We start from the raw sequence: 27485 nt of genomic DNA on the forward strand, positions 1-27485 counted from the left end.
GCCATGGGGCCTGGGAAGGAAAAGTGGAACACAAGCAAGGCAGGCTGAGGTTAGGCCAATCCTGCCTGGAGTTCCCCTTATTCTCCATATTCTTTGGGCACTCCTGTTCCACAGCAAAAGCTGAGGGGGTTGTGATTTTAGCTCTCAACTGGCCTTTCCTTTGGCTCGGAATGAAAATGGTCAGACCATTTCTACTTGACCTTTTTACCATGCATAAGGTCCCCAAGAGGCTGTAGCTTTGCTCGGGTCCTTCTGAGGCCTGCACTGGGATCCCATTTCTCCTCCTCTCCACTTAGTTCTCATTCATAAAAGAGGAAGCTTAGCACCCAAGAATCCTCCTTCCTTTGTCTTTACCCTGCCCAACCTACATCCAGAGCCCAGCCTCTCAGGGTCCTTTCCTCCTCAGGCTTAGACCAAGGCTGTAACTATTTTTGCCCAAAATAGTCCTAAGGTTCCCACTCAGGCCTTACTTTATCAGCCCCTTCATCCTTCAGAGATGGCAGCATTCGTTGTGTGCCATCTCCTTCCCATTCCTTTAAACTGGGCCTTCACTTCCTCTAATTTTTTTTTTTCCCTTACGAGCCCTCCTGCGTCCCCCTCCATACTAGCTTCCTGGCCCCTTTCAGAGCTGATGGGTTCTGCCTCCTTCCTCCACCTCCTTAGCTCCAGGAGCTGGTCTGCCACGTGATGATGGGTAACCTGGTTATGTTTCGAAAAGACTCAGTTCTCAACATACTCAGTAAGTGATCAAATCTTTAGGTGCCTGGGAGAGGAGAGGAGGGCAGGGTGTCAGTCCTGTGTATTTTACACTATCAGGAAAGCTGGTTCTGGGGCTGGGAAGTTAAGGGGAGAGAATTGTACTCCACCCTGGTGCGGTCTGGGGCAGTATCTTTCTGGATCTGTCCTACCTCTGTAACATCCCTGCTTGGGGTGCTGGTAGTCAGTGGATTGGGGTGTGTGTGTGTGTGTGTGTGTGTGTGTGTGTGTGTGTGTGTGTGCTGGTAGTCAGTGGATGGGGGGGTGGGGGGGGTGTGTGTGTGTGTGTGTTCGTTTGTTCATTCTTGAGAGAGATGTTTCTTTTGTCTCTTCCAGTTCAGAGCCTAGACTGGGAGACCTTTGAGCAGTATTGTGCCTGGCAGCTCTTTCTGGCCCACAATATTCCCCTGGAGACCATAATCCCCATCCTGCAGCACCTCAAATACAAGGGTGAGTAGGCTTTTGGGTAGGGAGCACATCAGATATGACACTTCCTATACAGTTAGGGCAAGGCTGAGGCCTCTAGGCTTCTAGGATGAGCCCAGATCCATTGTCCTCCTTCCCACCAAAGTGCACAAGGGCAGGCTCTCTGTCAGCCACTTTTGTTCTTTAGGTGAGTCCTGTGGGCCCACCATGAGCCAGGCTCTGGGCTGGGGCTCAGGTGGCTCAGGGACTGATAGGAGTGGGGTAGGGGATTCTTCCTGGCTCCTCATCAAAGACTGTCCTTATTCCCTCCAGTGGCTGTTGGGGGATGAGAGAGGTCCCCAGATTCCATCCTGGAATCATACCTTCCCCCTGAACAGCCTCTGCCCTTCCCTCACAGAGCACCCAGAGGCCCTGTCCTGCCTACTGCTTCAACTCCGAAGAGAAAAGTGAGTTCCACTTCTGGGGCTCTTTAGCCCTCAATTTTAACATCCCAAGAGCTGCTGTGGTCTAAAGGGCTTCTGTCCTCCTCCTTATTGCCATATTTTTTCCTGTCGTTAACATCTGCTTATTCTGCCCTTCCCCCAACGTGACTTACAAATGAGCAGCTCCCCTGGGATCTGGGCTTCCTCTCGACTTTACCCCCCTGCCCACCAGGAGCTGCCCTCGGAGGTGGGGAGGTGGGGACCGGACATCCCTGTTTCCTGCTGCCACAGCAGTTCTAATCCCTGGTGGCTCCTGCTCCCCGCCGCGCCCCCCCCACCGCCCCATGCTCCTGCTGGCCACCGCACAGCTAATCCAAGAGGAGGGAGGGTCAGGGTAGAGGGGTCACGCACCATCCTCTCCCTCACCCTGTGCAGAGCAGAGCCAGCTGGACCTACTGTGCCTTGACAGGGTGGGGCAGAGAGGGAGAGGGTGGCAGCCCCCTCTTCCCGCAAAGCCCTTTAGCAACATCCCCCGATAAATGGGGCAGCAGCTGTGTATCTTATCCTTCCTACCTTTCTGCCTTCCTTCCACCCTTTCTGCTCTCTTGCCTGAGAGACTATAAATGGTACAGAGTGTCCTAGAGGAAGTGGGAAGCTTGGAGGCTGTATGGGGCTGTGACTTCACAACCCTCTCCTGCCCCCTTCCTCCAGCTGGAAGCCAGGTTGGCCCACAGCTTTAGCAGGGTAGGGGTAGGGGAGCATCTGCATGCCACATGCTTGTGCTTCTGCCTCCCAGGCCCACTCCCTGACTGTTCTAGGGGAGGAGGAGGAGAACTGAGGGTCCTCCTTCCCAACACACACACGCACACGCCTTCTCCTACCACAGCAAGTGAAGAATCTCACTTCTTCTCTCCTGGCTTCCACAGAGGATGAAACCAGGCATTCCTTGGCCTAAGGAGAAGAGGGAGAGGGATGTGAGAGTAGTGGGTGGGTGGGGAGGCCAGGGCTTGGGAAATAAGTGGGAGAGACCCAGCATGCCCTGCGGCCACTGTGCAAGCAGCACCCAGTGCCCCCTTCCTCCCCCAGGCCCAGCGAGGAGATGGTGAAGATGGTGCTGAGCCGGCCCTGCCATCCTGACGACCAGTTCACCACCAGCATCCTGCGGCACTGGTGCATGAAACATGACGAGCTGCTGGCCGAGCACATCAAGTCCCTGCTCATCAAGAACAACAGCCTGCCTCGCAAGAGACAGAGGTGGGACACGGTCCCTGTCTACCCTCCAGGCCATGGCGGTCTGCAGTGATTGCTGTCGGTGGTGGTGGTGGTGGTGGTGGTGGTGGTGATGGGGGTCAGTGCTGTCCCAGCCTGGTTTGTGGGCGACATCTAGTGGTCCGAAGCCACATGGCATGCGAGACCACCGTGGCCCTTTCTCCCCATCTTCCAGTGCCCCTGTGGCCAGGATCCCCTGTTCTAGGCACACCTTTCTCACCCAACCCCAGCCCTCCCAGGCTGCCTATCCTGTTCCCCATGTAGGCTGCCTCTGTCTTAAGGGGGCCCTGGCGGGTGGAGGGTGTCTCGCACTCTGGAACCCTCCCACACTCAGACTCTGGCTCTGGTGATTCCTGCACAGCCTGAGGAGCTCTAGCAGCAAGCTGGCCCAGCTGACTCTGGAGCAGATCCTGGAGCACTTGGACAATCTGCGGCTCAACCTGACCAACACCAAGCAGAACTGTATGCCTTCCACCCTCGGCGTCCAGTGTAGACGGTGCTGCCCTGGCCCAGACTATGCCTGGAGCCAGGCTGGGGGCAGGGGCAGGACACCCGGGGCCACAACCCACACTCGGGATAAAACAACCTGTGCGTGCTGTTTAATAAGCTCCCAGACATCTGATTGTTTTTCCTTCCCTGCTCTCCCTTTTCTTCCTCTAGTTTTTAGCCAGACGCCAATTCTCCAGGCGCTGCAGCATGTCCAAGCGAGCTGTGACGAAGCCCACAAGATGAAGTGAGGCTCCTGCCACTTTGGGCCTTGGAAAGTAGTAGGGGAAAAGCCTAAGGGAGAGGAAGCCTGCTAGGGACATAAACGTAATGGCCAGCAAGACCTTAGGGTCCAGGGTTGAAGAAAAAGAAGGCCTAGGCCTGGGGGCAGAGAAGAGGATGGGAGGTGCCGTAGGAGCAGCAGGCTCCCACTCAAAGAGCTACCGCTCCTTTTCCTTAGATTCAGTGATCTCTTCTCCCTGGCGGAGGAATATGAGGACTCTTCCACCAAGCCACCCAAGAGCCGGCGAAAAGCAGCTCTGTCCAGCCCTCGAAGTCGAAAGAATGCCACACAGCCCCCCAATGCCGAAGAAGAGTCGGGCTCCAGCAGTGCTTCAGTGAGAACCCAGCCAGTGCACAGGGGGAAAAGGAGCACTGGGTGCAGGTGGAGTCGGCGCCAGCAGCTGCCCAGGCTGTTAACTTCCCATTTCCCCTCCCATCTCTTCCAGGAAGAGGAAGACACGAAACCGAAGCCTACCAAGCGGAAACGAAAAGGGTCCTCTGCAGTGGGCTCTGACAGTGACTGAGGCCCTGCATTCCCCATCCCACCCCCGGCTGGACTGCCCTCTCCTTCTTGGTGATTCAAAGGTTAATAGAGGCTGAGGAGATTGCAGGGGAAACACCCTTGCTGCATCCCCAAGCTCCCCCGGTGGAAGGAGGAGCTTTCTCCTCTGGCTGAGTTTGAGAAGCTGCCATGCAGCCCCTAGCCCCTTCCCTCCTCCTGGGGCCTCCAGCCCCTCACACTGCTGTTCCCAGTGATATTTGGGATCTGACTGAAGCCAGAGGCTCTGTAAAATCAGACCATAGTGGAAGTCCTCAGCCCCCTGGCCCCTTCCGCAATCTCCTCCCCCAGTCTCCCAAAGAGCCATTTCAACAGAGAAGGGAAATGACAAAGGGGCAGCTGGCCAGATAAGCTAGGATGAGAGCAGAGACTCAGTGTGTGGGTGTCCCTTCCTGCTTCCCCTTCAGGTCTTGGTTTGTTCTGAAGGGACGTTTTATAGTCACTATCCACATGCCAGTGTGAAATGGGCATCTATGACGTGGTCAGGGTGTCCATTCCTAATCATGGGGCAGATGCCACAAGCATTCAGAAAGGAGTCTGAAAGGGTGGCCACAGCCCCACGTGGTGTGCCCTGGAGGCTTAGGTTGGTCTGAGGTTGGCACCTCAATCTACACCAGAGCCCAGGGAGTCCCAGAGGCAAGTTTCACAGAATTGTCAAATGATCCCATTTCCTTGAGTCTGTTTTTTTTTTTGTTTTTTTTTGTTTTTTTTTTGGCAGAGATAATCGTGTCTTAAAAGTTGTTTTTAAATGACAATAAAACAAGCCAGAATGTCTTTTGTGCTGGAGTGTCTGCTGGCATTTGCCCCGTGCATGTATAGCTTGGTCTTGATTTGATTGGCACCCCTACTTGTAACCGCAGAACATCCCCCTTTCCCTTCCTGTTCTGCCCCCACTTTTGTCTAGAGCAGAAGGGACTTGGCTTTGGCCACTACCCATCCTTCCTGCTGCCACTGGAGGTGGGAGCCAGGCACTGATCTGTCTATGCAGAACCATCCCCCGTAGGATGAGGCCTGTCCTTACTCATTTCTCAAGAAACAAGATGCTTCCAAAAGGTCTGTCATCCTCCAGTTGAAGTCTGTGTGCCTACCAAGAATGGCCGGAGGACTCGCTGCTTGACGGGAGGGATGCTCCAGCTTGGTCTCCAGGGACAACTGTACCTGGAGATAAAGTCTGGATACCAGGGAGGGACAGAGATGCTCTTCCTTCCACAGTGTGGCCACTTGCTGGGCCATGTGAACCAGCAGAGGAGAGTTCCTTGGCTATGCTGTTGTTCCCCCGCTGTCCAGGGAGAATGGAGGTGGACTGAGGAGTGAAGTTTGGGCGAACTGCACAGAGCTGCTCCTCTTCACCCCGAAAATTTGTCTTTTTACAGAATCCAGGTTCTCCCCTCCCTCATCACTGCTGTTGCTTCCTTTGAAAGTCTAAACCACTGGAGGCTTCTTTTTCCTTCCTCTCTCCTTCCCCAGTTTCCTCTGTCCCAATTAAAACCAGGATGGAGAGCATTTGCTGGCTGGCCCCAATTATTGTACCCTTGCCCAAAGGGAGGGGCCTCTGTCGTGACCCCTCAGAAATCTGGCAGTCTGGGTTTCCACCTTTCCCCTATTTAACTCTCAGCCCCCACCCATCCCCTGGGGTTGCGGCTGGCAGGCCGGGACTTGCAGAACCAAATGGGCCAGGGGCCAAGTTCATTCTTTTGGGAGAGAGCAATGGTACCTTCCCTTAACGGGAAAACGAGAAATATTGAGGGGAAGATGGACTGCGATCCAAACGCCCTGGCTCTCAGGCCTGGACTCTAGGGCTTAGCCAGATGCCTAAACCGCCCAAGCCGAGAAACAACTTAGAAGACAGACATAACCCTGGGATTCAGGGAAGGCGCGAGCACCGCCCAGGACCTGGTAGGGTGCGAGCCGCGAGCAGTCCGGGAGGGAGCGCGCCTAGGGCGGAGCGTAGGCTGTGGGGGGAGGGCTGGGAGTCCGGGGCCGCCCCACACCCGCACTCCTCCCGGGTTTCTGCTCTCCGCCCGTGTGGAGTGGTGGGGGCCTGGGTGGGAATGGGCGTGTGCCAGCGCACGCGCGCTCCCTGGAAGGAGAAGTCTCAGCTAGAACGAGCGGCCCTAGGTTTTCGGAAGGGAGGATCAGGGATGTTTGCGAGCGGCTGGAACCAGACGGTGCCGATAGAGGAAGCGGGCTCCATGGCTGCCCTCCTGCTGCTGCCCCTGCTGCTGTTGCTACCGCTGCTGCTGCTGAAGCTACACCTCTGGCCGCAGTTGCGCTGGCTTCCGGCGGACTTGGCCTTTGCGGTGCGAGCTCTGTGCTGCAAAAGGGCTCTTCGAGCTCGCGCCCTGGCCGCGGCTGCCGCCGACCCGGAAGGTCCCGAGGGGGGCTGCAGCCTGGCCTGGCGCCTCGCGGAACTGGCCCAGCAGCGCGCCGCGCACACCTTTCTCATTCACGGCTCGCGGCGCTTTAGCTACTCAGAGGCGGAGCGCGAGAGTAACAGGGCTGCACGCGCCTTCCTACGTGCGCTAGGCTGGGACTGGGGACCCGACGGCGGCGACAGCGGCGAGGGGAGCGCTGGAGAAGGCGAGCGGGCAGCGCCGGGAGCCGGAGATGCAGCGGCCGGAAGCGGCGCGGAGTTTGCCGGAGGGGACGGTGCCGCCAGAGGTGGAGGAGCCGCCGCCCCTCTGTCACCTGGAGCAACTGTGGCGCTGCTCCTCCCCGCTGGCCCAGAGTTTCTGTGGCTCTGGTTCGGGCTGGCCAAGGCCGGCCTGCGCACTGCCTTTGTGCCCACCGCCCTGCGCCGGGGCCCCCTGCTGCACTGCCTCCGCAGCTGCGGCGCGCGCGCGCTGGTGCTGGCGCCAGGTAAGGCTGGAGCTCCGAACTGACTAAGGCGGGGCCAGCCACAGAAGGGGGCGTGTCGGAGACCACAGAAAGGCTTGGTCTCATCCCTGGGCCTGGGAAGAAGCCGACTATCCCTTGGGGTTCGAAAGTGGGTGGAGATAGGAGTCTCCGGGTTTGAGAAGGGATGAGGCTGAATCTTTGGTGCCCCAAGGATCCCCAAGGAGTCGAGTTCCAGGCCTCAGACCCAAGATGGAATGTCCATACCCTTCACCCTCATCCAAGAGCAGTGTGGGCTGGGATAGGGAGGGGACATGGGTCATAGGCTCTTCTAGGTAGAGCCAGGGCCCCGGCGTTGTGCTTTCCCACCCTTCTAGAGTTTCTGGAGTCCCTGGAGCCGGACCTGCCCGCCCTGAGAGCCATGGGGCTCCACCTGTGGGCTGCAGGCCCAGGAACCCACCCTGCTGGAATTAGCGATTTGCTGGCTGAAGTGTCCGCTGAAGTGGATGGGCCAGTGCCAGGATACCTCTCTTCCCCCCAGAGCATAACAGACACGTGCCTGTACATCTTCACCTCTGGCACCACGGGTGAGGGCCGGGCACCATACTTAGCTCCCCGAAACCAAGGCAGAGGAAGGCAGGGGTCTGCTCCCAGACCACTCCTTCAAAGCCCCCAGAGAGGATGCTGATTTCATTGGCACATCCTTTTTCTCCCCATCATTTCACTCCCCAGTCTCCTCACCTCCTACTCATTTCTCCACCTCCCCCAGACCACCCATATTTCCAGGACAGCCTGGTCTCGGTCCTCAGCTTCTGTCCTGCCTCCGCCTCTTTCTGTGGGAAACCCAGCGGGGGTGCAAACAGATAGGTAGAGCTTGGAGTTTGCCCTTCCCCTGATCGTCCCATAACTGCCACCCCACAGGCCTCCCCAAGGCTGCTCGGATCAGTCATCTGAAGATCCTGCAATGCCAGGGCTTCTATCAGCTGTGTGGTGTCCACCAGGAAGATGTGATCTACCTCGCCCTCCCACTCTACCACATGTCCGGTTCCCTGCTGGGCATCGTGGGCTGCATGGGCATTGGTCAGTCTCCCCAACCCCACCTTCATTAATTCATCCAGTAGACATTTATTAAGCACGTACTATGGTGTGAGTCCTCCAGGGTAGATAATCTAGAGGACGGATGGGGCAGAGCCCTACTCACCAGGAGCTCTGTACAATAGGGCAATGTCACCTGCCTAGACCTACAGACTGAGGAACGGTGAGGGGGGCCATACAGCCACATAACTCCAGGCTGCAGGGTCAAAGGCAGGGAAGGACTGTGTCAGTCCAGGAACAGGCAAGTAAGAGAAGAGGGAGAGAGAGACAAGGAAGTGAGAGTGTGGAGGATGAGATCTTTGGGGCTGGGAAGTAGGGAAAGGGCATTCACCTCTTCTAAGGCTGGGGACAGGGGCCGGGGGAGGGGAAAGAGGGCCAGCACGGCTTCCTGACGGTGTGACTCCCACAGTGGGCCCTTCCCAGGGAAAGACTACAGTGATGGCTGGGGTCTGGAAAGAGGGGCTTGGGCTCCCCACTCTGCTCCTAATCTTACCTCCCTTCTTCCCCCCTGCCCACTTCTGGCAGGGGCCACAGTGGTGCTGAAATCCAAGTTCTCGGCTGGTCAGTTCTGGGAAGATTGCCAGCAGCACAGGGTGACGGTGTTCCAGTACATTGGGGAGCTGTGCCGATACCTTGTCAACCAGCCCCCGGTGCGTGGGCACAGATCCTGGGCAGAGCTGCTGACACAGGGCTAGCTCACGGGGAGCAGGACAGTTGACAGGAGACAGGGAGTTGGAGGGAGAAGCAGCAAGAAGAAAATGGCAGTGTAAGATAAGGAGCCAGAGATGGCCTAGGCCATCTGATGCTTACGGCCTCTGAAGGAGGTCACAGTAGGAGGGGGTTCTGGGGAATGGGGAACAGGAATTCACTTCCGGGAGCGGGCATCTTGATGCTGAAGCTCCGGCCCCTCTCCCACTCATCTCAGAGCAAGGCAGAACGTGGCCATAAGGTCCGGCTGGCAGTGGGCAGCGGGCTGCGCCCAGATACCTGGGAGCGTTTTGTGCGGCGCTTCGGGCCCCTGCAGGTGCTGGAGACATATGGACTGACAGAGGGCAACGTGGCCACCATCAACTACACAGGACAGCGGGGCGCTGTGGGGCGTGCTTCCTGGCTTTACAAGGTGAGGGGCAGAGAGGAAACTGAAAACCCGTGGAACAGCAGAGGGCTGGCAGGAGAGGGGGCTCATGTGACTGCAATGATCCAGTACCCAGGTCTCCCTTTCCCCAGCATATCTTCCCCTTCTCCTTGATTCGCTATGATGTCACCACAGGAGAGCCAATTCGGGACCCCCAGGGGCACTGTATGGCCACATCTCCAGGTTGGTGGTGTTCTGGTGGGGTGGGCGGGGTGCTGAAGCTGGCACAGGAGGACTGGAATTGGAGACTGGGGTGGATGGGGGCAGAAGGCTCTGGGAAAGGTGACACCACTCCTGACCCTGGTGACTCTGCCAGGTGAGCCAGGGCTGCTGGTGGCCCCGGTAAGCCAGCAGTCCCCATTCCTGGGCTATGCTGGCGGGCCAGAGCTGGCCCAGGGGAAGTTGCTAAAGGATGTCTTCCGGCCTGGGGATGTTTTCTTCAACACTGGGGACCTGCTGGTCTGCGATGACCAAGGTTTTCTCCGCTTCCATGATCGTACTGGAGACACCTTCAGGTATCTGTCCATAACTGGTTTTTCATCCTGGACATCTGATCTCTGTGATCCAAAGCTTCTGAACCTCAACTCTCTAATCTGCCACCTCAACCTGGGTCCTAAGCTAATCTCTCATTCTCAGATCTCACCATTTCATCCCTGTGACACTGACCTCTGACCTCATCTCCCCACCAAGCCCATAAGGCCCTGACCCCTGACTCCCAGTTTCAGATCTCTGCTCTCTGACAGGTGGAAGGGGGAGAATGTGGCCACAACCGAGGTGGCAGAGGTCTTCGAGGCCCTAGATTTTCTTCAGGAGGTGAACGTCTATGGAGTCACTGTGCCAGGTGCCTAGGCATGGAAGGTGGGGGAGGCACCCAGCCACCACCCCGAATTGGTAGTACTTGGGCGCAGGGAGCACGAGGCCTTCGTGGTGGTCAGCCATGGAGGGGCTTACTCTGTCTCCCACACCCACCAGGGCATGAAGGCAGGGCTGGAATGGCAGCCCTAGTTCTGCGTCCCCCCCACGCTTTGGACCTTATGCAGCTCTACACCCACGTGTCTGAGAACTTGCCACCTTATGCCCGGCCCCGATTCCTCAGGCTCCAGGTAACCGGCCACTTCCCCCGCCGGCCCCTCACCCCATATATCCTCACCCCACATATCCACCCCGTGTATCAACTTAGGAGTTTGATGGCTCCCAAACTCCACAAAGGGACCCCCAACGTAATACACTCCGTGAAGAGAAAAAACACGGAGACACAAGCTCTTCACCCCACTTCTTTCCTTATCCCTGCCTTCTTCTGGCCTGGCTCTTTCTCCTCCCTGTCACCTCCTCCCCTAAACCTTGACCTCACACTCCCTTTCCCAAGACTTGCTCCTTAACAAAATTCAGGCAACTCCCCTGAACCACGTGGGCAGAGTCCCCTTCCCTCCAAATCCCTGACCCTCCTGTCCCCAGGAGTCTTTGGCCACCACAGAGACCTTCAAACAGCAGAAAGTTCGGATGGCAAATGAGGGCTTCGACCCCAGCACCCTGTCTGACCCACTGTACGTTCTGGACCAGGCTGTAGGTGCCTACCTGCCCCTCACAACTGCCCGGTACAGCGCCCTCCTGGCAGGAAACCTTCGAATCTGAGAACTTCCACACCTGAGGCACCTGAGAGAGGAACTCTGTGGGGTGGGGGCCGTTGCAGGTGTACTGGGCTGTCAGGGATCTTTTCTATACCAGAACTGCGGTCACTATTTTGTAATAAATGTGGCTGGAGCTGATCCAGCTGTCTCTGACCTACAGTATCTGTCATTATCTCTCTGTGGAACTGCTTTTTCCTTGAGAGTTTTCTCCTGGCGTGGAGCCACAGGCCCCACATTCCTGCCCTGACTGGCTGTGGGCCAGAGCCCCGTATCTGGACCTTGGTGTTTTCCTCTCAGGAGACCCTGTGTGACCTTCGTCCTTGGAGAACCTCTGGTGACTGATGTTTGTCTGTGCTCCTGTGTAGCTCGCCCCAGTTTTACTCTCCGAGTGCCAGGCTCCCACTGCTCTGTCTTGGGAACTGGAGGACCCGAGGGGTCGGCTCAAAGGGCAGAGGTGGACAGAAGCACACAGAAATGCCACCTCCGGCAGCCAGCCCAAACTGCTCCCCCAGAATCAGGTGTGGCCGGGCCTGGGGAAGAGTCTTAACCAGCCCAAACAAGTGTTTGACTGTGGGGGAAAGGATGCTCAAGATATCCCTCTGCCTCGCAGCTGTCTCTGAGAAGCCAATCTTTGAGGGGGAAGAGTGGGGTGCCCCTGCCTCCAGATGTTCCTACTCCTACCTGGTGACTGTCAGACATTCCCAGAAGGAGCAGTCCCCAGGGGGGACCCTCCGGTACTGCAGGAGAGTTTGACGGAAGCCCCTCCATGGAGTGAGGCTCAGAGTGCATGTGGTGGCAGGAGGGATGGTGGGAATCAAAAGGACAAAGGCCTCTCGATCCCCAAATGAGGTGTCCAGAAAGTTCATCATCTAAAAGCTTGAAATGATGAAGCTCCTGCTTCTCCTAGGAACTACAGTCCCCCTCTGTTTTGAGCTGTGGGTCCTTGAAATTTTATGCTACTTTGCCTTTCCCCTTCTAGCCCCTCTCCCCAACATGAGAGGTCAGGGGACATGCCCTACTGGCACACTTGGGTCTCTATTGCGGGCCCTCCTGTTCCAAAACTTTACAACTTGCCCCCTTCCACCAGCAAGCCCGGTGCAGCCTCACTGACAGACTAGGTAAGGCACACGCTAAGGTGCAGGGGAAAACTTCATGCGTAGACCAATAAATGTGGAACTTAACTCATTCTGTGCACCTCTCCAATCTGCCCCAGGAGGAGTACAATAGTTTGGGTGTGCCTGGGGGTAGGGCGGGTAGGCAGCCTGTGTTGGCTGGCAGTGGGGCACCTCCTGCAGCTGCTCTCCCACACCTTAACTCAGCCCAGATTTCCCAGACCTGCGAGCTGAGTGGCCACCTCCCCCATCGTAGAACCTCACACCAAGCTTTTTTTTTTTCTGGAGACGGAGTCTCGCCCTGTAGCCCAGGCTGGAGTGCAATGGTGCAATCTCGGCTCACTGCAACCTCTACCTCCCAGGTTCAAGCAATTCTCCTGCCTCAGCCTCCCGAGTAGCTGGGATTGCAGGCACACGCCACCACATCCGGCTAATTTTTTTTTCTATCTTTAGTAGAGACCGGGTTTCACCATGTTGGCCAGGCTGGTCTCGAACTCCTGACCTCGTGATCTGCCCGCCTCAGCCTCTCAAAGTACTGGGATTACAGGTGCCCGGCCTATTTTTGCTTTTTAAAGTGTAGCTACTAGAATATTTAGAATTACATGTGGCTCAGGTTATATTTCTTTTTTTTTTTTTTTTTTTTTTTTTTTTGGAGATGGAGTCTCGCTGTGTCGCCCAGGCTGGAGTGCAGTGGTGCGATCTCTGCTCACTGCAAGCTCCACCTCCCGGGTTCACGCCATTCTCCTGCCTCAGCCTCCTGAGTAGCTGGGACTACAGGCGCCCGCCACAACGCCCGGCTAATTTTTTGTATTTTTAGTATAGACGGGGTTTCATCGTGTTAGCCAGGATGGTCTCAATCTCCTGACCTCGTTATCTTCCCGCCTCGGCTTCCCAAAGTGCTGGGATTACAGGCGTGAGCCACCGCGCCCGGCCGGCTCAGGTTATATTTCTACTGAATAGTGCTGGCCTAAATCCTGACCCCACACTTCACTCTGCAAACCCACAAATGCCAAGTGTAACATGTCAGTTGCACCTGTGCCACCCCTCTCTTGAGTATCTGCACTTTAGCAAGGTAAGCTGGGAGGAGGGGAATTCTGGTAAAGTGGGCTGAGCCAGTCGCTGGGACGCTGGGACAGCATTCTGTCTTCTACTCCTATGTTGGGCTCACGGCTCGGCTCTTTGAACCAGCTTTGTCACAGAGGCTGTAATTAGTGATAGAAATGGAAAGCTGCAAGAAGGCCAACTTTTGATTCAAAAGCATCAGGTTTTCTGTTTGCTATAATAAAAATAAAATAAATTTTAAAAGAATTAGGTTTGACACCAGCCTGGGCAACATGGCCAGGCATGGTAGTGCGCATCTGCAATCCCAGCTACCAGGGCAGAGGGGTGATGCTGAGGTGGGAAGATCCCTTGAGTCTGGGAGGTCGGGGCTGCAGTGAGCAGTGATGGTGCTAACTGCACTACAGCCTGGGCGACAGAGTGAGACCCTGTCTCAAAAGAAAAAAAAAATTAGGTTGCCCCACAAAAAGTTAATTGAAATAAAATTAAATGAGATCATGAGATAGTTTGCAAAGATGAACCAGGGGCCAGGCGCGGTGGCTCACGTCTGTAATTCCAGCACTTTGGGAGGCTGAGGTGGGAGGATCACTTGAGCCCAGGAGTTCAAGACCAGCCTGGGCAACATGGCGAAACCCCATCTCTACAAAAAACAAAAATTAGCCGGGCGTGGTGGTGCACACCTGTAGTCCCAGCTACTTGGGAGGCTGAGGTGGGAGGATCGCTTGTGCCCAGGAGGCCGAGATTGCACCACTGCAATCCAGCCTAGGCAACAGAGTGAGACCCTGTCTCAAAAACAAAAACAAAACAAAAAAAAACAGATGAACTAGGGTGGTCCTCAGGTGGTGAGTGCCCTTTCTCATCAGGTTGGATAGAGGAGGATGATGGATGCAGAGAACCTAGTCCACAAATCGTAGCAATACTCTCAGCCTCGTTGTGTCTGCGGAACCTTCCCTGGGGGTAAAGGGGCCCCCTTCCCAAACCTGCCTCAAAGGCAGGAGTCAGCAAACTATGCTGCCTGTTTTTGTTACATACAGCACACTAAAAAATGGTTTTTATATTTTTAGGTGGTTGAAAAAAAAAAGACTATTTCATAACATGTAAAAATTACACGGGTTCAAATTTCAGTGTCCATAAATAGTTCTGCTGGCACACAGCCGCGCTCGTTCGTTATGATTGTCTATGTCCGCTCTCCTGCCACAACAGCAGGGCCGAGTGTTTATGAGACCCGATGGCCTGCAAAGCAGAAACTACTTCTCGTGCGGCCCTGGACTGAAAGAGTTTGCCGACGCCTCTATCTGCCCCATCCCTCCTGCGCCGCTGGGCTGCGGCTGCTTCCGTGAGCCCCGGGAAGGGGAGGGGAAGTGGAAGGAAGCCCGCGAGCTGCGAGGCACCCGGGGCGGCCGCGCGCGAACCCACAAGCGGGGAGATGGCTTGGCAGGGAGAGTCGGGAGGCACCCCTCGCCCGGAGACCCCCGTGGGGCTTGGCAAAAAAAAAAAAACCCATCTCGGGCGCTGCTGGGGGCGGAAAGGCGTCAGGCGCATGGAGCCAACATACTCCCTGGCAGCCTCCGCCCGGCGGGCCCCTGCAGGGCGGTGCTTCGCGCCTACGTAAACCCGACCTCGCTGCGCAAGCGCAAATCGGTGCCCGCCCGGCGCGCGAGAGGGGCGGGGCAGGCTGGGGAGGCGGGCGGAGCCATTCTTATGGTGGTACAGAAGCTCCTGACTTCCAGCCAAAAAGACAAACGGAGGGGCGAGGCCGGAGTACCTGGAGTTTTCCTCCCAGAGCCTCTTTAAAACTCACCCGTTTAAAGTGTAAAATTTAGTGTTTTTGGTATATTCGCAAAGTTGTGCATCCATGGCCACCACCTAATTTAGAACATTTTTGTCACCTCACAAGGAAATCCCTACTCATTAGCAGTCACTGTCCACTCACCCCTCACCCTAGGCCCTGGCAACCACTAATCCTAGACATTTCATGTAAGTGGAAGTATAGAATATGTTCTTTTTTTTTTTTTTTGAGACGGAATCTCACTCTGTCGCCCAGGCTGGAGTGCAGTGGCCTGATCTCGGTTTACTACAACCTCCGCCTCCTGGGTTCAAGCGATTCTCCTGCCTCAGGCTCCCGAGTAGCTGGGACTACAGGCACATGCCACCATGCCTGGCTAATTTTTTGTATTTTTAGTAGAGACGGGGTTTCACTTGTTAGCCAGGATGGTCTCAACCTCCTGACCTCGTCATCCGCCCGCCTCGGCCTCCCAAAGTGCTGGGATTACAGGCGTGAGCCACCGCGCCCGGCCATATGTTCCCTTTTTGTAACCGGGCACCTTAACTTTAAAATGCATTTAAAATTTTTTTTCTACCTCCTGGGTTCAAGTGATCCTCCCACCTCAGCCTCCCCAGTAGCAGGGACCAAAGATGGGCACCACCACACCCGGCTAATTTTTGTATTTTTTGTACAGATGGGGTTTCACCATGTTGCCCAGGCTGGTCTCAAACTCCTGGACTTGAGTGATCCGCCAACTTCTCAGCCTTCCAAAGTGCTGGGATTAAGGTGTGAGCAACCGCGCCTGGCCTTGAACTTTTTTTTTTTTTTTTTTTGAGACAAGAGTCTCGCTCTTGTCACCCAGGATGGAGTGCAATGGCACGATCTCGGCTCACTGCAACCTCTGCCCCCTGGGTTCAAACAGTTATCCTCCCTCAGCCTCCCAAGTAGCTGGGATTACAGGCACCCGCTACCACGCCCGGCTAATTTTTATATTTTTAGTAAAGATGGGTTTCACCATTTTGGCCAGGCTGGTCTTGAACTCCTGACCTCAGGTGATCTACCTGCCTTGTTGGTCTCCCAAAGTGGTGGGATTACAGGCGTGAGCCACCGCGCCCGGCCTTTTTTTTTTAAGTTAATTTATTATTATTATTATTATTTTTTTTTTTTGAGACAGAGTTTCACTCTTGTTGCCCAGACTGGAGTGCAATGGTACGATCTCAGCTCACAGCAACCTCTGCCTCCCGCATTCAAGCGATTCTTCTGCCTCAGCCTCCTGTAAACTTTTCTTTTTCTCTTGGGTTTTAAGGTATAATCTTGAGGAGAACTGCAGAAGCCTTCTGTCTTAGCCTTAAAATAGACTCCGCATCCCTCCCTTTCCTACAGTATATATTCCCTTCACATTTATCTAACTATATGCTAGTGTCTAATTATGTGCCTTCTTAGAGGTTCCAGGGGCTAATCTTGAGATAGATGAACCAAGTCTGGAGACCCAGCTGCAAAATTCCAGAGATTACTTCAAGGTTGCTAGTTAACAACCCAGCCATTGTTGAGATGACACCAGCCTGAGATCCAGGTGGACTGGGACCCGAGCTAGCCACCAGAACAAGACACAGCTCAATTCTTGCATGCCTTATCAATTTTTTTTTCTTTTTTCTTTCTTTCTTTTTTTTTTTAATCCCTGCCTTCCCCGCAAAAATCAAAGTGGTTGCTTTGGATGGGAATCCGGCCACTTCCCCTTTACTAGTTTTGGTTAATAAAATCATTTTCTTTAAAAAAAATTTTTTTTTAAGACTAGTCAAATGAAGCAGTGGGAGTGGAGAAGGAACAAAGAAATCTGTAACTGGTTGTGATCAATGAGTTGTAAACACCACTGCACTCAGACCAGCCTAAAATCACTTTCTTTCTACCAGACCTTCCTCTTGTTTATTGGACTCTGCAAGCAGCAAGCATCCAGAGCCATATTCAGTTGCATTTTGTGTCTGTCTTCTTTCACTTAGCAGAATGTTTTCTTTTTCTTTCTTTTTTTTTTTTTTTTTTTAAGACAGGGTCTCACTCTGTCACCCAGGCTGGAGTGCAGTGACACAATATCAGCTCACTGCAACCTGCGCCTCCCAGGTTCAAGCAATCCTTCCACCTCAGCCTCCCCAGTAGCTGCCACCATGCCCAGCTAATTTTCTTTTTAATTTTTTGTAGAGATGGAGGTTCGCCATGTTGTTCAGGCTGATCAGAAACTCCTGAGCTCAAGTGATTCACCAGCCTTAGCCTCCCAAAGTGCTAGGATTACAGGTGTGAGCTACCACACCTGGCTTCATTCCTTTTTTATGGCTGTATAATATTCCGGTGTATGGATCTATCACATTTTGTTAATCCATTCATCTGTTGATGGACACTGGGGCTATTTATGCCTTCTGGTTATTTAAATAATATGGCTATCAACATTCATGTACAAATTTTTGTGTGAACATATACATTCAATATTCTTGGGTAGATATCTAGGAATGGAATTGCTAGGTCAAACAGTAACTCTATGTTTAACTTTTTGAAGGAACTGCCAAACTGTTTTCCACAGTAGCTGCACCATTCTACATTCCCACCAGCAGTATATGAGGGGTTCCAGTTTTTCCACATCCCCACTACTTGTTATTATCTGTCTTTTTTTACTATAGCCATCCTACTGGGTGCGATGTGGTATCTCATTGTGGCTTTGATTTGCATTTTCCCATGGCCAATGAGGTTGAGTTTCTTTTCATGTGTTTACTGGCCATTTGCATATCTTCTTTGGAGAGATGTTTATTCATATTTTTTGCTCACTTTGTAACTGGGTTATTTGCCTTTTAATTATTGAGTTGTACAAGTTTTTCTTTTAATCTGGACATAAGTTTCCTATCAGATATATAGTTTGCAAATATTTGATTCTGTTGTCTTTTCACTTTCTTGTCAAAAGCATCCTTTGAAGCACAAAGGTTTTAATTTTTTTTTCTTTTTTTGAGACAGGGTCTCACTCTGTCACCCAGGCTGAAATGCAGTAGCACAATCTTGGCTCACTGCAACCGCCACCTCCAAGGTTCAAGCGATCCTCCTGTCTCAGCCTCCCAAGTAGCTGGGATTATAGGTGTGTACCACCATGCCCAGCTAAATTTTTTTTTTTTTTTTTGAGATGGAGCCTCCCTCTGTCACCGAGGCTGGAGTGCAGTGGAGCGATCTCAGCTCACTGCAACCTCCATCTCCCGGGCTTTACCAATTCTCCTGCCTCAGCCTCCCGAGTAGCTGGGACTACAGGCGCACGCTGCCATGCCCGGCTAATTTTGTTGTTGTTGTTGTTACCCAGGCTGGTCTCAAACTCCGGAGCTCAGGCAGTCCACCTGCCTCAGCCATCTAAAGTGCTAGGATTACAAGCGTGAGCCACTGCGCCTGGCCGATTTTGTATATTTAGTAGAGACAGGGCTTTACCATGTTGGCTAGGCTGGTCTGGAACTCTAGGGCTCAGATGATCTGCCCGCCTTGGCCACCCAAAGTGCTGGGATTATAGGCGTGAGCCATCACGCCTGGCCCAGGCTTTACATTTTGATGAAGAACAGTTTATCTTTGTTTTTTGTTTGTTTGTTTGTTTGTTTTGTACAGTGAGAATTTTGTAATACTTAGTTTTTCCCCAAGGAAGAATAAAGATATCTTATACTTCATTTGGTAATGTACTTGTTAAAGGTAATATGGGTGTTATTACTTGAAACTATTTAATGGCATATTGTATAACAGTGCACATATTAGGGGTCAATATTTCCAGAGAAAAAGTATTTTAGTATAAATAAAACTAATTGAATAAAAATCCTGGCACCCTTAGAGGAATGGTTGATCTCAGGTCTGGGGGAGAAAATACTCTGAATGAGCCTGGGGCAGATGGTTCCAGAAAGCAAAGATACCAAAGAACGGGGGAATAGCAAATGGACACTGAACTCCCACTGGCCTGAGATAGAGACAAATTGAACCTCAGAGAGATTGCAGCAGAAACATTGAATTAAAAAAAAAAGTATCAGTGCAAACTCCCACTAAAGGGACTTCTACTAAAGGGAAGATGGATAAAGGGAGAGAGAAAAAGAAACACATTGGACAGAGTACCAACTCTTTACTCTGATAATTGGCAAACAAAGGAAAAAACTAAGCACTCTCCCTTCTTTCCCATGTGAACTGAATTTCAGGGTTACCAAATTGTCCTAGTTGATGAGGGGACTTTCTTTACAGAAGAATTTCAGTTAATAAATGAGAAAGGAATGACAGAACTGGAAAATCAGCATTTTGCAACCCCTAATGAAATAACTGTCAGGCAATTATTACCAATAGCTATGACTATTGGATAAAAGGTTGATGAGGCTGGGTGTGGTAGCACATGCCTGTAGTCCCAGCCACTTGGAAGGCTACAGAGGGAGAACATTTGAGCCCAGGGGTTTGAAGCTGCAGAGAACTATGATTGTGCCTGTGAATAGCCACTGCACTCCAGCCTGGGCAACACAGGGAGACCTCATCTCTTAAAAAAAAAGGAAAGAAAGAAAGAAAGAAAAGGTTGATGAGGGGCCAGACATGGTGGCTCACGCCTGTGATCCCAGCACTTTGGAAGGCCAAGGCAGGCGGATCACCTGAGGTCAGGAGTTTGAGACCAGCCTGGCCAACACGGTGAAACCCCGTCTCTACTAAAAATACAAAATTAGCTGGGCGTGGTGGTATGCGCCTGTAATCAGGAGGCTGAGGCAGGAGAATCACTTGAACCCAGGAGGCCGGGGTTGCAGTGAGTTGAGATCGCACCATTGCACTCCAGCCTCGGCAAGAAGAGTGAAACTCCATCTCGAAGAAAAAAATTAAAAAAAGAAAAGATTGACAAGGAATCTTGGAGAGATCAGGTTATCAGCACCTGTAGCCCCTAATCAATTTTAGAATCACTAACAGTAAGACAACCAGATATTGTGCATCTCCTGAATGCAGTGTGCAGCATAAAATACCAACAATAAAGTCTTCTTGCCTAAAAGTGGAACCTGAATAAACCAAGCCTCTGAGCCAACATCCATTTATAGAGGAACGTATTCAATAGCACACACACACACAAAAATCAGACAGATCCAGAACATGCAAAATTTTACTGGAAAATTTACCCAGTCTCTTCAACAATTCAATGACATATAAGGGTGAGGGTTGGGGGTGTTTGCCTTTGATAAGATCATTAAGAGACACAATAATCAAATGCAGCGTATAAACCTTGTTCTTGATTCAAAACAGAAAAACAGTAGAAAGACATTTTTCAGACAATCAGGGATATTTGGTTAAGGACTAGGTATTAGATGATATTAAGGAATAATTAAAGAATTTTGTCATATATGATAATGGCATTGTGGTTATGAAGAAAACGTTTGTAATTTTTTTTTTTCTTTATTGAGACAAGGTCCTCACTCTGTCACCCAGGCTGGAGTGCAGGGCGCTTTCTTGGCTCACTGCAACCTCTGCGTCCCAGGCTCAAATGAACCTCCTGTCGCAGCCTCCCGAGTAGCTGGAACTACAGGTGCCCGGCTAATTTTTTGTAGAGATGGGGTTTTGCCCTGTTGCCCAGGCTGACCTCAAGTGATCAGGTGCTGGGATTACAGGCGCGAGCCACCAAGCCCGGCACCTCCTCCCCTTAACAAACATTAACTGAGAGCCCATCCTGTGCCAGACTCTGCTCTGGGCACACAGCTGGGAGCACCACAAAGTCCCCGCCCTCCTGGAGCTCGCTCTGGGGTAGACACGCATGAAAGCCGGTGTGAAATGCAGCGCCCTGGATTGAACATCAGAGACGGAGCCCACAGGAGTCGTGCGTTTCCTGCGGGGGCTGTAACAGATTACCATAGACATAAGGGCTTCAAACATGAATGTCTGATCTGATAGCTTTACAGTCAGACGCCTGACAGGGCTTTCTGGCCTAAAATTAGCGTTGGAAGGCTACGTTTCCTTCTGGAGGCTCTAGGGGAGCACGCGCTTCCTCACCTTTTCCGGTTTCTAGAGGCCGGGCATCCTTGGCTGTGGCCCCTTCCTCCTGCACATCGCGTCTCTGGCTCTCCATCTCTCTCTCCTCTCCACCTTCCTCTTCCGCTTTTAAGGACCCTCATGATGACATTGGGCCCACCTGTATAATCCCGGAGCACCTCTTTAAGATCAGCTGTAGCAACCTTAATTCCTCCCCGCCAGGTAACTTAGCACATTCATAGGTTCCGGGGATGACGACTTGGATCTCTCCAGGGCCCTATTCTGCCGACCACAGATGGGAAGGCCAATGGAGATGGACAGAGAAGGGAAGAGGGAGAAAAAGGCTCGGAGAGAGGCAGAGGACCAGGCTGACAGGAGAGAGGAGGTGGCTGAGAAAGGAGACAGTGTCCTGGGCGTGCTTGGGGACTTTTCGGGGGATTCTGTTTGCCAGCTGAGACTTTCCAGGGACGTTATTCCAGGAAAGCCTGGGCAGCTGTGAAAACTCAGATGACGCCAGAGGACTGTTCGGGGTTGAGCCAATAGGCAATTGTTGGAGAGGGAGGGAAGGAGGGCAGCTCTCAGCAAGTCCATGTTGGCGGCGTTTCCTGAGCTCCAAGGCTATTCCGGGCTCCATCCCTGGGATGGAGCTTCCTAGCCTGCGTCAGGACGGCGTTTGCCAGCGTTCCAGGGAGTGTGGGTCTATCCCCTTGGTGGCAGGAGGGAGGCTTTAATCAAATTCTCAAGGGGGCCTGGGACCAATAAAAGTTAACTCCTATCCTGAGTGTTATAAAAAGAAGTGCTTGGAATGTAAAATGCTGCAGTCACTGTGGAAGACAGTTTGGCGGTTCCTCAAAATACTGTTACCATGTGACCCAGCAACTCCATTCCTAGGCGCATGCCCAGGAGAACAGAAGATGTCCGTCCACACAAAAACATTTCCACGGATGTTTGTAGCAGCATTGCTCATAATAGCCAAAAAGTGGAAACAACCCAAATGTCAGTCTCCTGATGAGCAGATAAACAAAATGTAGTCTATCCATGCAATGGAATCTTATTCAGGGATTAAAAAGAATGAAGTGCTGAGACAGGCTACAAGATGGATGAAACTTGAAGACATTACGCTAAGTGAAATAAGCCAGACACGAAAGGACAAATATCATATGATTCCACTGTATATGAGGTACCCAGAGTAGCCATATTCATAGAAACAGAAAGTAGAATGGTGATTGGCAGGGGCTGAGAGAGGGCAGATGGGGAGTGAATGTTAGTAGGTACTAAGTTTCTTTTCGGGGTGATGAAATGTTTTAAAATAGATTGTGGTAATGGTTGTGCAACTCTGAAAATATACAGAAAGCCACTGAATTCCTTAAATGGGTGATGGGTGAAATTTCTGCTATGTAAATTATATCTCAGTAAAGCTGTTCCTAGAAAAAAGAGGAAGTGGGCCAGGCACGGCAGCTCACGCCTATAATCCCAGCACTTTGGGAGGCTGAAGTGGGGAGATCGCTTGAGTCCGGGAGTTCAAGACCAGCCTGGGCAACATAGTGAGACCCTATCTCTACATACCTACGAAAAATTTTTTAAAATAGCCTGGCATGGTAACACACACCTGCAGTCCCAGCTACTCGGGAGGCTGAGGTGGGAGAATCACTTGAGCCCAGGAGGTGGAGATTGCAGTGAGCTGTGATCTTGCCACTGCACTCCAGCTTGGGCAGCAGAGTAAGACCCTGTCTCAAAAAATAAATTTATCTCTTCTAAAAAAAGAGGAAGTGCTTGGCCCTTAGCACCACATTTCACTTCGTCCTTGCAACTGTGAAAGGCAGGCCTTGACCTTCTCCCCTCTTACAGGTGAGCAGATGGCAGAGAGGCGAGGATCACTAGGCTAAGATGGGATGGCTGTTTAGTGACAGGCCTTGGACCAGGTCTCCTGTATGGGTCATTCTTTGTCCTGCGAGCCATGCTGGAGTGTGGATTTGGAGGTGACAGGCAAGTGGCGCAGTCAGTGATGCATCTTCTCAGTAGCTGTTGGAGAGTGGGCAGTTCTGACAGCAGCAGGGGAAGCTGGCCGGGAGATGGGGCGTCTGAGTCAGCTCGGGCTGCCACAACACCAGACACTACATGGCTTAAACAACAGGACTTTATTTCTCACAGTACTGGAGGCTGGAAAGTCCAAGCTTGAAGGTGCTGGCCAATCCCGTTCCCGGCGATTGGGCCCCTCCCTGGCTTGCAGAGGCCTGAGTTCCCGTGGAGTCACCACGCGCCTTTCCTTGGTATGTGCACGTGGAGAGATCTCTCCTTCTCTTATAAGGTCACTAATCCAGCCGGGCGTGGTGGCTCATGCCTGTAATCCCAGCACTTTGGGAGGCCAAGGTGGGCGGATCACCTGAAGTCAGGAGTTTAAGAACAGCCTGGCCAACATGGAGAAATCCCGCCTCTAATAAAAATACAAAACATTAGCCGGGCATGGTGGCGGGCACCTGTAATCCCAGCTACTCGGGGGACTGAGACAGGAGAATCACTTGCACCCAGAGGCGGAGGTTGCAGTGAGCTGAGATCACGCCACTGCACTCCATCCCGGGCAACAGTGTGAGACTCTGTCTCAAAAAAAAAAAAAAAAAAGAAAAGAAAAAGAAAAAAAGAAAGGTAAATTTGCCTATGCAAGGACACGCAGCTAGTGATTTGTTCCACATCTGACCCCAGGGCCTATGCGCCTTTCCCTACCCAGGCCACCGCCATGACTCAGGAGGCCCCTCTGGGGAAGCAGCGGGAACCCTCATAGGAGGCTCCGGGACAGAGAGATGCAGGGCTGGGACGAGGAGGCCCCGAGGGGAGGCTGCTCGCTCTCCTGTCCCATGGAGGTCTCTGCTAGGGGTAGCCCCGTCCTGGGACACAGACACCAAGGACTGCTGTCTGAGAGGAGGAGGCTGAGTTGGGAGGGACAATGGCCTGAGTTGATTCTGAAGCCTGTGAGCAAGGTGGGACAAGCCGGAGAGGCAGCTGAGCAAGCGGGGGCGAAGACTGAGGGTGAGAGTTTGTGCTGAAGAGGCAAGGGGCAGCCTCAAGTGGGCAGGGCAAGGCCAGATGCAGAGGCTGACAGGAGTGGGCAAGGGGACCGGGATTCAGGGGGAGACTGAGTCAGGGGCCAGACAGGCTGGAGCTCCTAGGGTTGGAAGCTGGGTGATGGGGCCTCATTCTCTGCCACACGAGACTCCCCCAGCCCAGCCTTCCCCCTTATTGTCTCTCACAGATACTCCCATACATCCCTGGTACCCCTGTCATCTTTCCTAAGCTATGCTCTTTTTCAGGAGGGTGGCGTTTAGGGGAGGGTATCCTCCAGAAATAGCAAGTCTCAAAGTCAGCTCTTGCCTGAGTCCCAGTCTCCTTTGGTGGAAGGGTAGTCCCTCTTTTTGCATGTTTTAAGTGGTCAGCCTGGCAAGGGGCGGGAGGCCTGGGTTTCTTTCTTCTCTTTAGGATGGGGCTGGTCCTCCACCTCCCACTGGCTGGCAGCCTCCCGGCCCCTGGTGGCCCCAATCCATTGTCCCAATAAGAATAGAGAAAACAGCTTTGGAAATTGACACTATGAATGGTGCTGGGGCTGCTGGGCTGGGACTGAACTAATGGGATGAGGTCCCCCACTTCAGGCCCAGGCTCAGCACCTGGGACGGTGACTCTACTAGGAGAGTGGGGGCTCTGCACCCCTCCCCAGGACCCCCAAATTAGACTTCAAGCCACCCCTGTCCAGGACATGGATCCCCAGGGATGGGCTTGGGGGACCAGATGCCCCAACTCCTCCTAGAACTTCACTCTCATTCAGTCAAAGTTTGAGAGGGAGTAAGGGGTGGGTAATGGGCTGGGAGAGATTTCTGGAAGCTGAGAAAGGGGCGGGTCTGACCCCCCAACTTTGCCCCGCTCTCATTGGCCCTCGCCCCCTTTCCCCGCCCCAATTGTCTCGGTGTCTGGGTCCTGGCCCTGGGAGGAGGGGACAGTGGGGATAGGAGTGGGGAGGGGGCTCAGGCTGAAAGCAGAGAGAGACCCAGCTCCAGGAACACGAAGGCAAGGACAGTAGCCTTCAGTCTCGACCCCAGAGCTTGGCACCCCAGAACCTGGGCTCCCCAAAGCAAGACCAGGGCCCCCACATTGTGCGCCAAAGTGCGGGGTGGAGAATGCCCACAGCCCAAGGGCCCCCAGGCTGAAGGCAGGAGACTGGGGCTGCTGGAGAAGTTGCCCAGGCTGAGGGGCCGTGCCTGGCAGGGACATGGGGCTGCTGCTGCTGCTGCTCCCAGGCTGGGGTAAGAGGCTGAGCCATGGGGGCCATAGGGAAAGCCAGGGCAGAGGGACGGGGAAGAAAAAGAGGCAGGCATAGGGGTGGGAGAGTTGCGGGGCAAGGTTGGGGAAGCAGAGGGATGGAGGTGGCCGGAGTGGAGATGGAGAAACCCTGAGGACAGCAGAGGAGAGGGGTGAGCAGGAGGGGCAGGCAGGGCTGCGGGAGAGCTGTGGGGGGTGCTCTAGGAGCCCAGGCTTTGGGGCACAGTGGCTAGAAGGGGACCTGGGGGCCACGTGAGGCAAGTGGCTGAGCAGACTGCGGGGCATGCAGAGGCAGGGCCCCAGAGGCTTACCCACAGATGTCCCTGAGCCAACCAAGGCTGGCTGAGCCCCCTGCCCATGTGCCCCTCGGAGGCTCTGTCTGCCCGCCTATCCACCCCATCTGCTGGGGGTCCTGGCTCAGCCTTACAGGCTGAGTTATTGTATTTATGGGGGTGTGTGGGAAGGGAGGCTGTGGGTTCACAGCTCTGCTCATGCATTTCTGGGCCTGTGCTGTTAGTGTCTGTGGCCCTGTGCTTATGTATTTGTGACTTTGAGTCTGTAGGGACATCTATGTGTGACCTGTGTTTGGGGCCTCCTTGAGTGTGCATCTGGGATGGAATCTGTCTGTGTCTAGAAGACCTGGTGGCCAGTGAGGTTGTGATTTTTAATCCAAGTGTGTGTGTGTCCGTGAATGAGTGTGTGTGAGTGTAAGTGTGTTCCTTCCCTATTCAGAGGCCAGGGTCCTGGTGGCGGGAGGGGGAAGGGGGAGAGCCAGGAGTCCTGGGAAGCTGACCCTGCAGGCAGACAGGCAGATGGGCCGGTGGGGGAGGGAGGGGGCGATCCCATTGTCCCCTGGGGAGCACAATGCTCACGCCTCAGCCCCTGACCTCACCATTGTGCCCACCCCGCCCCCTCCCCGTTGCCAGGGCCCAGCTGAAAGAGGCCATCAATCACAGCCGGCCCGCCAGGCCCACACCGCACCCGCCAGCCGGACAGTGGCCCGCCCTGCTCCTCAGATGGCCAGGCCCTGCCCTCTCTTCCCTGTTCCTCCTTTGCTGACCCAAAGTCTCCCTAAAGTCAAGTCCTGTCCCTTGCCCCTCGCCAAGGCTGGGAGGGAATCAAAGCCATGGGGGAGGTGGTGGACAAAGGGTGGGCCTCAGGGGGCCGCCGTGTTCAGGCTGTGCTGGCTGTCCCTACAGGCTGTGCTGCAGGCTCCGAGCTGGCCTTCGTGCAGGAGCTGGGGGACACAGTGGCTGTGTGGGAGCACCCACTGGTGCTGCCCTGCCAGGTGGAGGGTGAGCCGCCTGTGTCCATTTCCTGGCAGCGGGATAGGCTGGCCTTAGCCAATGAGAGTGGTGTCACCCTGATGCCAGATGGCTCCCTGCACCTGGCCGCCCTGCCTTCCCGCCGGAGCCTCCCTTCCCGTGCCCACGAGTACCACTGCGTGGCCCAGAACCGCTACGGGCGGCTGGTGAGCCGACAGGCCCGGGTACAGCTGGCAAGTAAGTGACAGGGCTGCTCCTGGGATTGGGGGATGAGAGTTGGTGGGGCACCCACAGAAGGCACCCATGGGGCCCAGACTCGCTGAGAGTGGGCCTGAGCAGGGCCAGCCCAGCCATTAGACACAGTGTACACACTGGTAGAGCCTCTGATTCTTTTAGGGGCCCACAAAAATGTTTTAACTTCTTCAAAACCAGAAGAAAAAAATGAATACAATAATAAATATGTAAAAATGAGTCCAGACTGGATTATACTTGTCTATATTCCAATGCCATTGTAAACTATGATTTAAAATTTTTGTAATGGAGGAAGGCAAAGTGCTTATAGCCCACAGAAGTCCTAGACATGAGGCTGCAGGGCTCTATACTGAAGAGGATGTGGCAGATGTGGGCACAGAGGTGGGGCCCAGCCCTGGGACTTGGTTGTGGGGGGATAGCCCAGGGCCAGCTCTGCAGGTGCCCAAGTGGCCCCCCCATCCTCTAGGTCTGTCCCGCTTCCACCAACATCCAGAATCCATTGAGGTGGAGCGGGGTGGAGTTGCTCGCTTCCAGTGCCTGATCCAGGGGGTGCCTGAGCCATCCATTTCCTGGGAGCACAATGGCACAGCCCTGAATACTGCCAACCACCGGTGAGCACCTGCCAGGAGTGCAATGGGACGGTGGGCTGTGGGCCAGGGCACAGGCCATGGAGCCCTGACCTCTGCATCCTCAGGGTCACACTGCTGCCTAGTGGCATCCTCCACATCACCAGTGTGAGCCAGACTGACATGGGAACCTACCGCTGCGTGGCATGGAATGTGGCCAGTACCCGCCACAGCCAGGATGCCCAGCTGACCCTGAGTGGTAAGCCAGGCCCAGTGTGGGCACTGG

The 27485-nt window shown here is 53.7% G+C and overlaps 2 protein-coding genes, 2 long non-coding RNA genes and 1 pseudogene across 8 annotated transcripts in view, besides 5 other annotated features; 4 read left to right on the forward strand and 1 right to left on the reverse strand.

Annotated features, from left to right (window-relative positions):
• INTS3 (integrator complex subunit 3) overlaps positions 1–5703 on the forward strand; it is a 46759-nt gene extending 41056 nt beyond the window's left edge. For both annotated transcript variants that reach the window (NM_023015.5, NM_001324475.2), the window contains 8 exons: positions 664–739; positions 1093–1206; positions 1580–1628; positions 2691–2858; positions 3235–3335; positions 3534–3606; positions 3820–3976; positions 4088–5703. In NM_023015.5, coding sequence (NP_075391.3) covers positions 664–739; positions 1093–1206; positions 1580–1628; positions 2691–2858; positions 3235–3335; positions 3534–3606; positions 3820–3976; positions 4088–4165 — 816 coding nt within the window. In that variant the 3' untranslated portion in view covers positions 4166–5703. The remainder of the gene's footprint in view (positions 1–663; positions 740–1092; positions 1207–1579; positions 1629–2690; positions 2859–3234; positions 3336–3533; positions 3607–3819; positions 3977–4087) is intronic.
• On the forward strand, positions 6302–11052 carry SLC27A3 (solute carrier family 27 member 3). Of its 3 annotated transcripts, none has more exons than NM_024330.4 (10): positions 6302–7059; positions 7413–7622; positions 7957–8115; positions 8656–8780; positions 9056–9250; positions 9358–9448; positions 9582–9780; positions 10009–10106; positions 10238–10368; positions 10721–11052. In NM_024330.4, the coding sequence occupies exons 1-10, from the start codon at positions 6393–6395 to the stop codon at positions 10895–10897; spliced, it is 2052 nt and encodes a 683-aa protein (NP_077306.3). In that variant the 5' UTR covers positions 6302–6392; the 3' UTR covers positions 10898–11052. The 3 variants fall into 3 exon arrangements, 2 of the variants coding, with proteins under 2 accessions (NP_077306.3, NP_001304858.3); NM_001317929.4 differs by having other exon boundaries at positions 10826–11052; NR_145826.3 differs by lacking the exon at positions 8656–8780.
• Positions 6703–7369: an enhancer, noted in NCBI's record as "H3K27ac-H3K4me1 hESC enhancer chr1:153748284-153748950 (GRCh37/hg19 assembly coordinates)". NCBI's record gives its function as "activates a minimal SCP1, AML or CMV promoter by ChIP-STARR-seq in primed H9 embryonic stem cells {active_cell/tissue: H9 hESC(primed)}" and the evidence as "EXISTENCE:reporter gene assay evidence [ECO:0000049][PMID:30033119]".
• Positions 6738–6929: a silencer, noted in NCBI's record as "fragment chr1:153748319-153748510 (GRCh37/hg19 assembly coordinates)". NCBI's record gives its function as "represses an EF-1alpha promoter that drives an FKBP-Casp9 reporter gene in an ReSE screen in K562 erythroleukemia cells {active_cell/tissue: K562}" and the evidence as "EXISTENCE:reporter gene assay evidence [ECO:0000049][PMID:32094911]".
• On the reverse strand, positions 19934–21553 carry LOC124904424 (uncharacterized). Its single transcript, XR_007066632.1, has 2 exons — positions 20833–21553; positions 19934–20677 (listed from the first exon to the last, which is right to left on the reverse strand). It is a non-coding gene; the product is annotated as an uncharacterized LOC124904424 (long non-coding RNA).
• On the forward strand, positions 20948–26089 carry LOC124904426 (uncharacterized). Its single transcript, XR_007066634.1, has 3 exons — positions 20948–21033; positions 22963–23081; positions 26043–26089. It is a non-coding gene; the product is annotated as an uncharacterized LOC124904426 (long non-coding RNA).
• Positions 22540–23073: an enhancer, noted in NCBI's record as "H3K4me1 hESC enhancer chr1:153764121-153764654 (GRCh37/hg19 assembly coordinates)". NCBI's record gives its function as "activates a minimal SCP1, AML or CMV promoter by ChIP-STARR-seq in naive H9 embryonic stem cells {active_cell/tissue: H9 hESC(naive)}" and the evidence as "EXISTENCE:reporter gene assay evidence [ECO:0000049][PMID:30033119]".
• Positions 23608–24141: an enhancer, noted in NCBI's record as "H3K4me1 hESC enhancer chr1:153765189-153765722 (GRCh37/hg19 assembly coordinates)". NCBI's record gives its function as "activates a minimal SCP1, AML or CMV promoter by ChIP-STARR-seq in naive H9 embryonic stem cells {active_cell/tissue: H9 hESC(naive)}" and the evidence as "EXISTENCE:reporter gene assay evidence [ECO:0000049][PMID:30033119]".
• Positions 24142–24673: an enhancer, noted in NCBI's record as "H3K27ac-H3K4me1 hESC enhancer chr1:153765723-153766254 (GRCh37/hg19 assembly coordinates)". NCBI's record gives its function as "activates a minimal SCP1, AML or CMV promoter by ChIP-STARR-seq in naive H9 embryonic stem cells {active_cell/tissue: H9 hESC(naive)}" and the evidence as "EXISTENCE:reporter gene assay evidence [ECO:0000049][PMID:30033119]".
• On the forward strand, positions 24842–27197 carry LOC343052 (immunoglobulin superfamily DCC subclass member 3 pseudogene; annotated as a pseudogene). Its single transcript, NR_126565.1, has 3 exons — positions 24842–25100; positions 26316–26618; positions 27100–27197. The product of NR_126565.1 is annotated as an immunoglobulin superfamily DCC subclass member 3 pseudogene (transcript).
• Positions 27198–27485: the final 288 nt, after the last annotated feature.

This window comes from Homo sapiens, chromosome 1 (genome assembly GCF_000001405.40).
Source record: "Homo sapiens chromosome 1, GRCh38.p14 Primary Assembly".
NCBI lineage: Eukaryota > Metazoa > Chordata > Mammalia > Primates > Hominidae > Homo > Homo sapiens.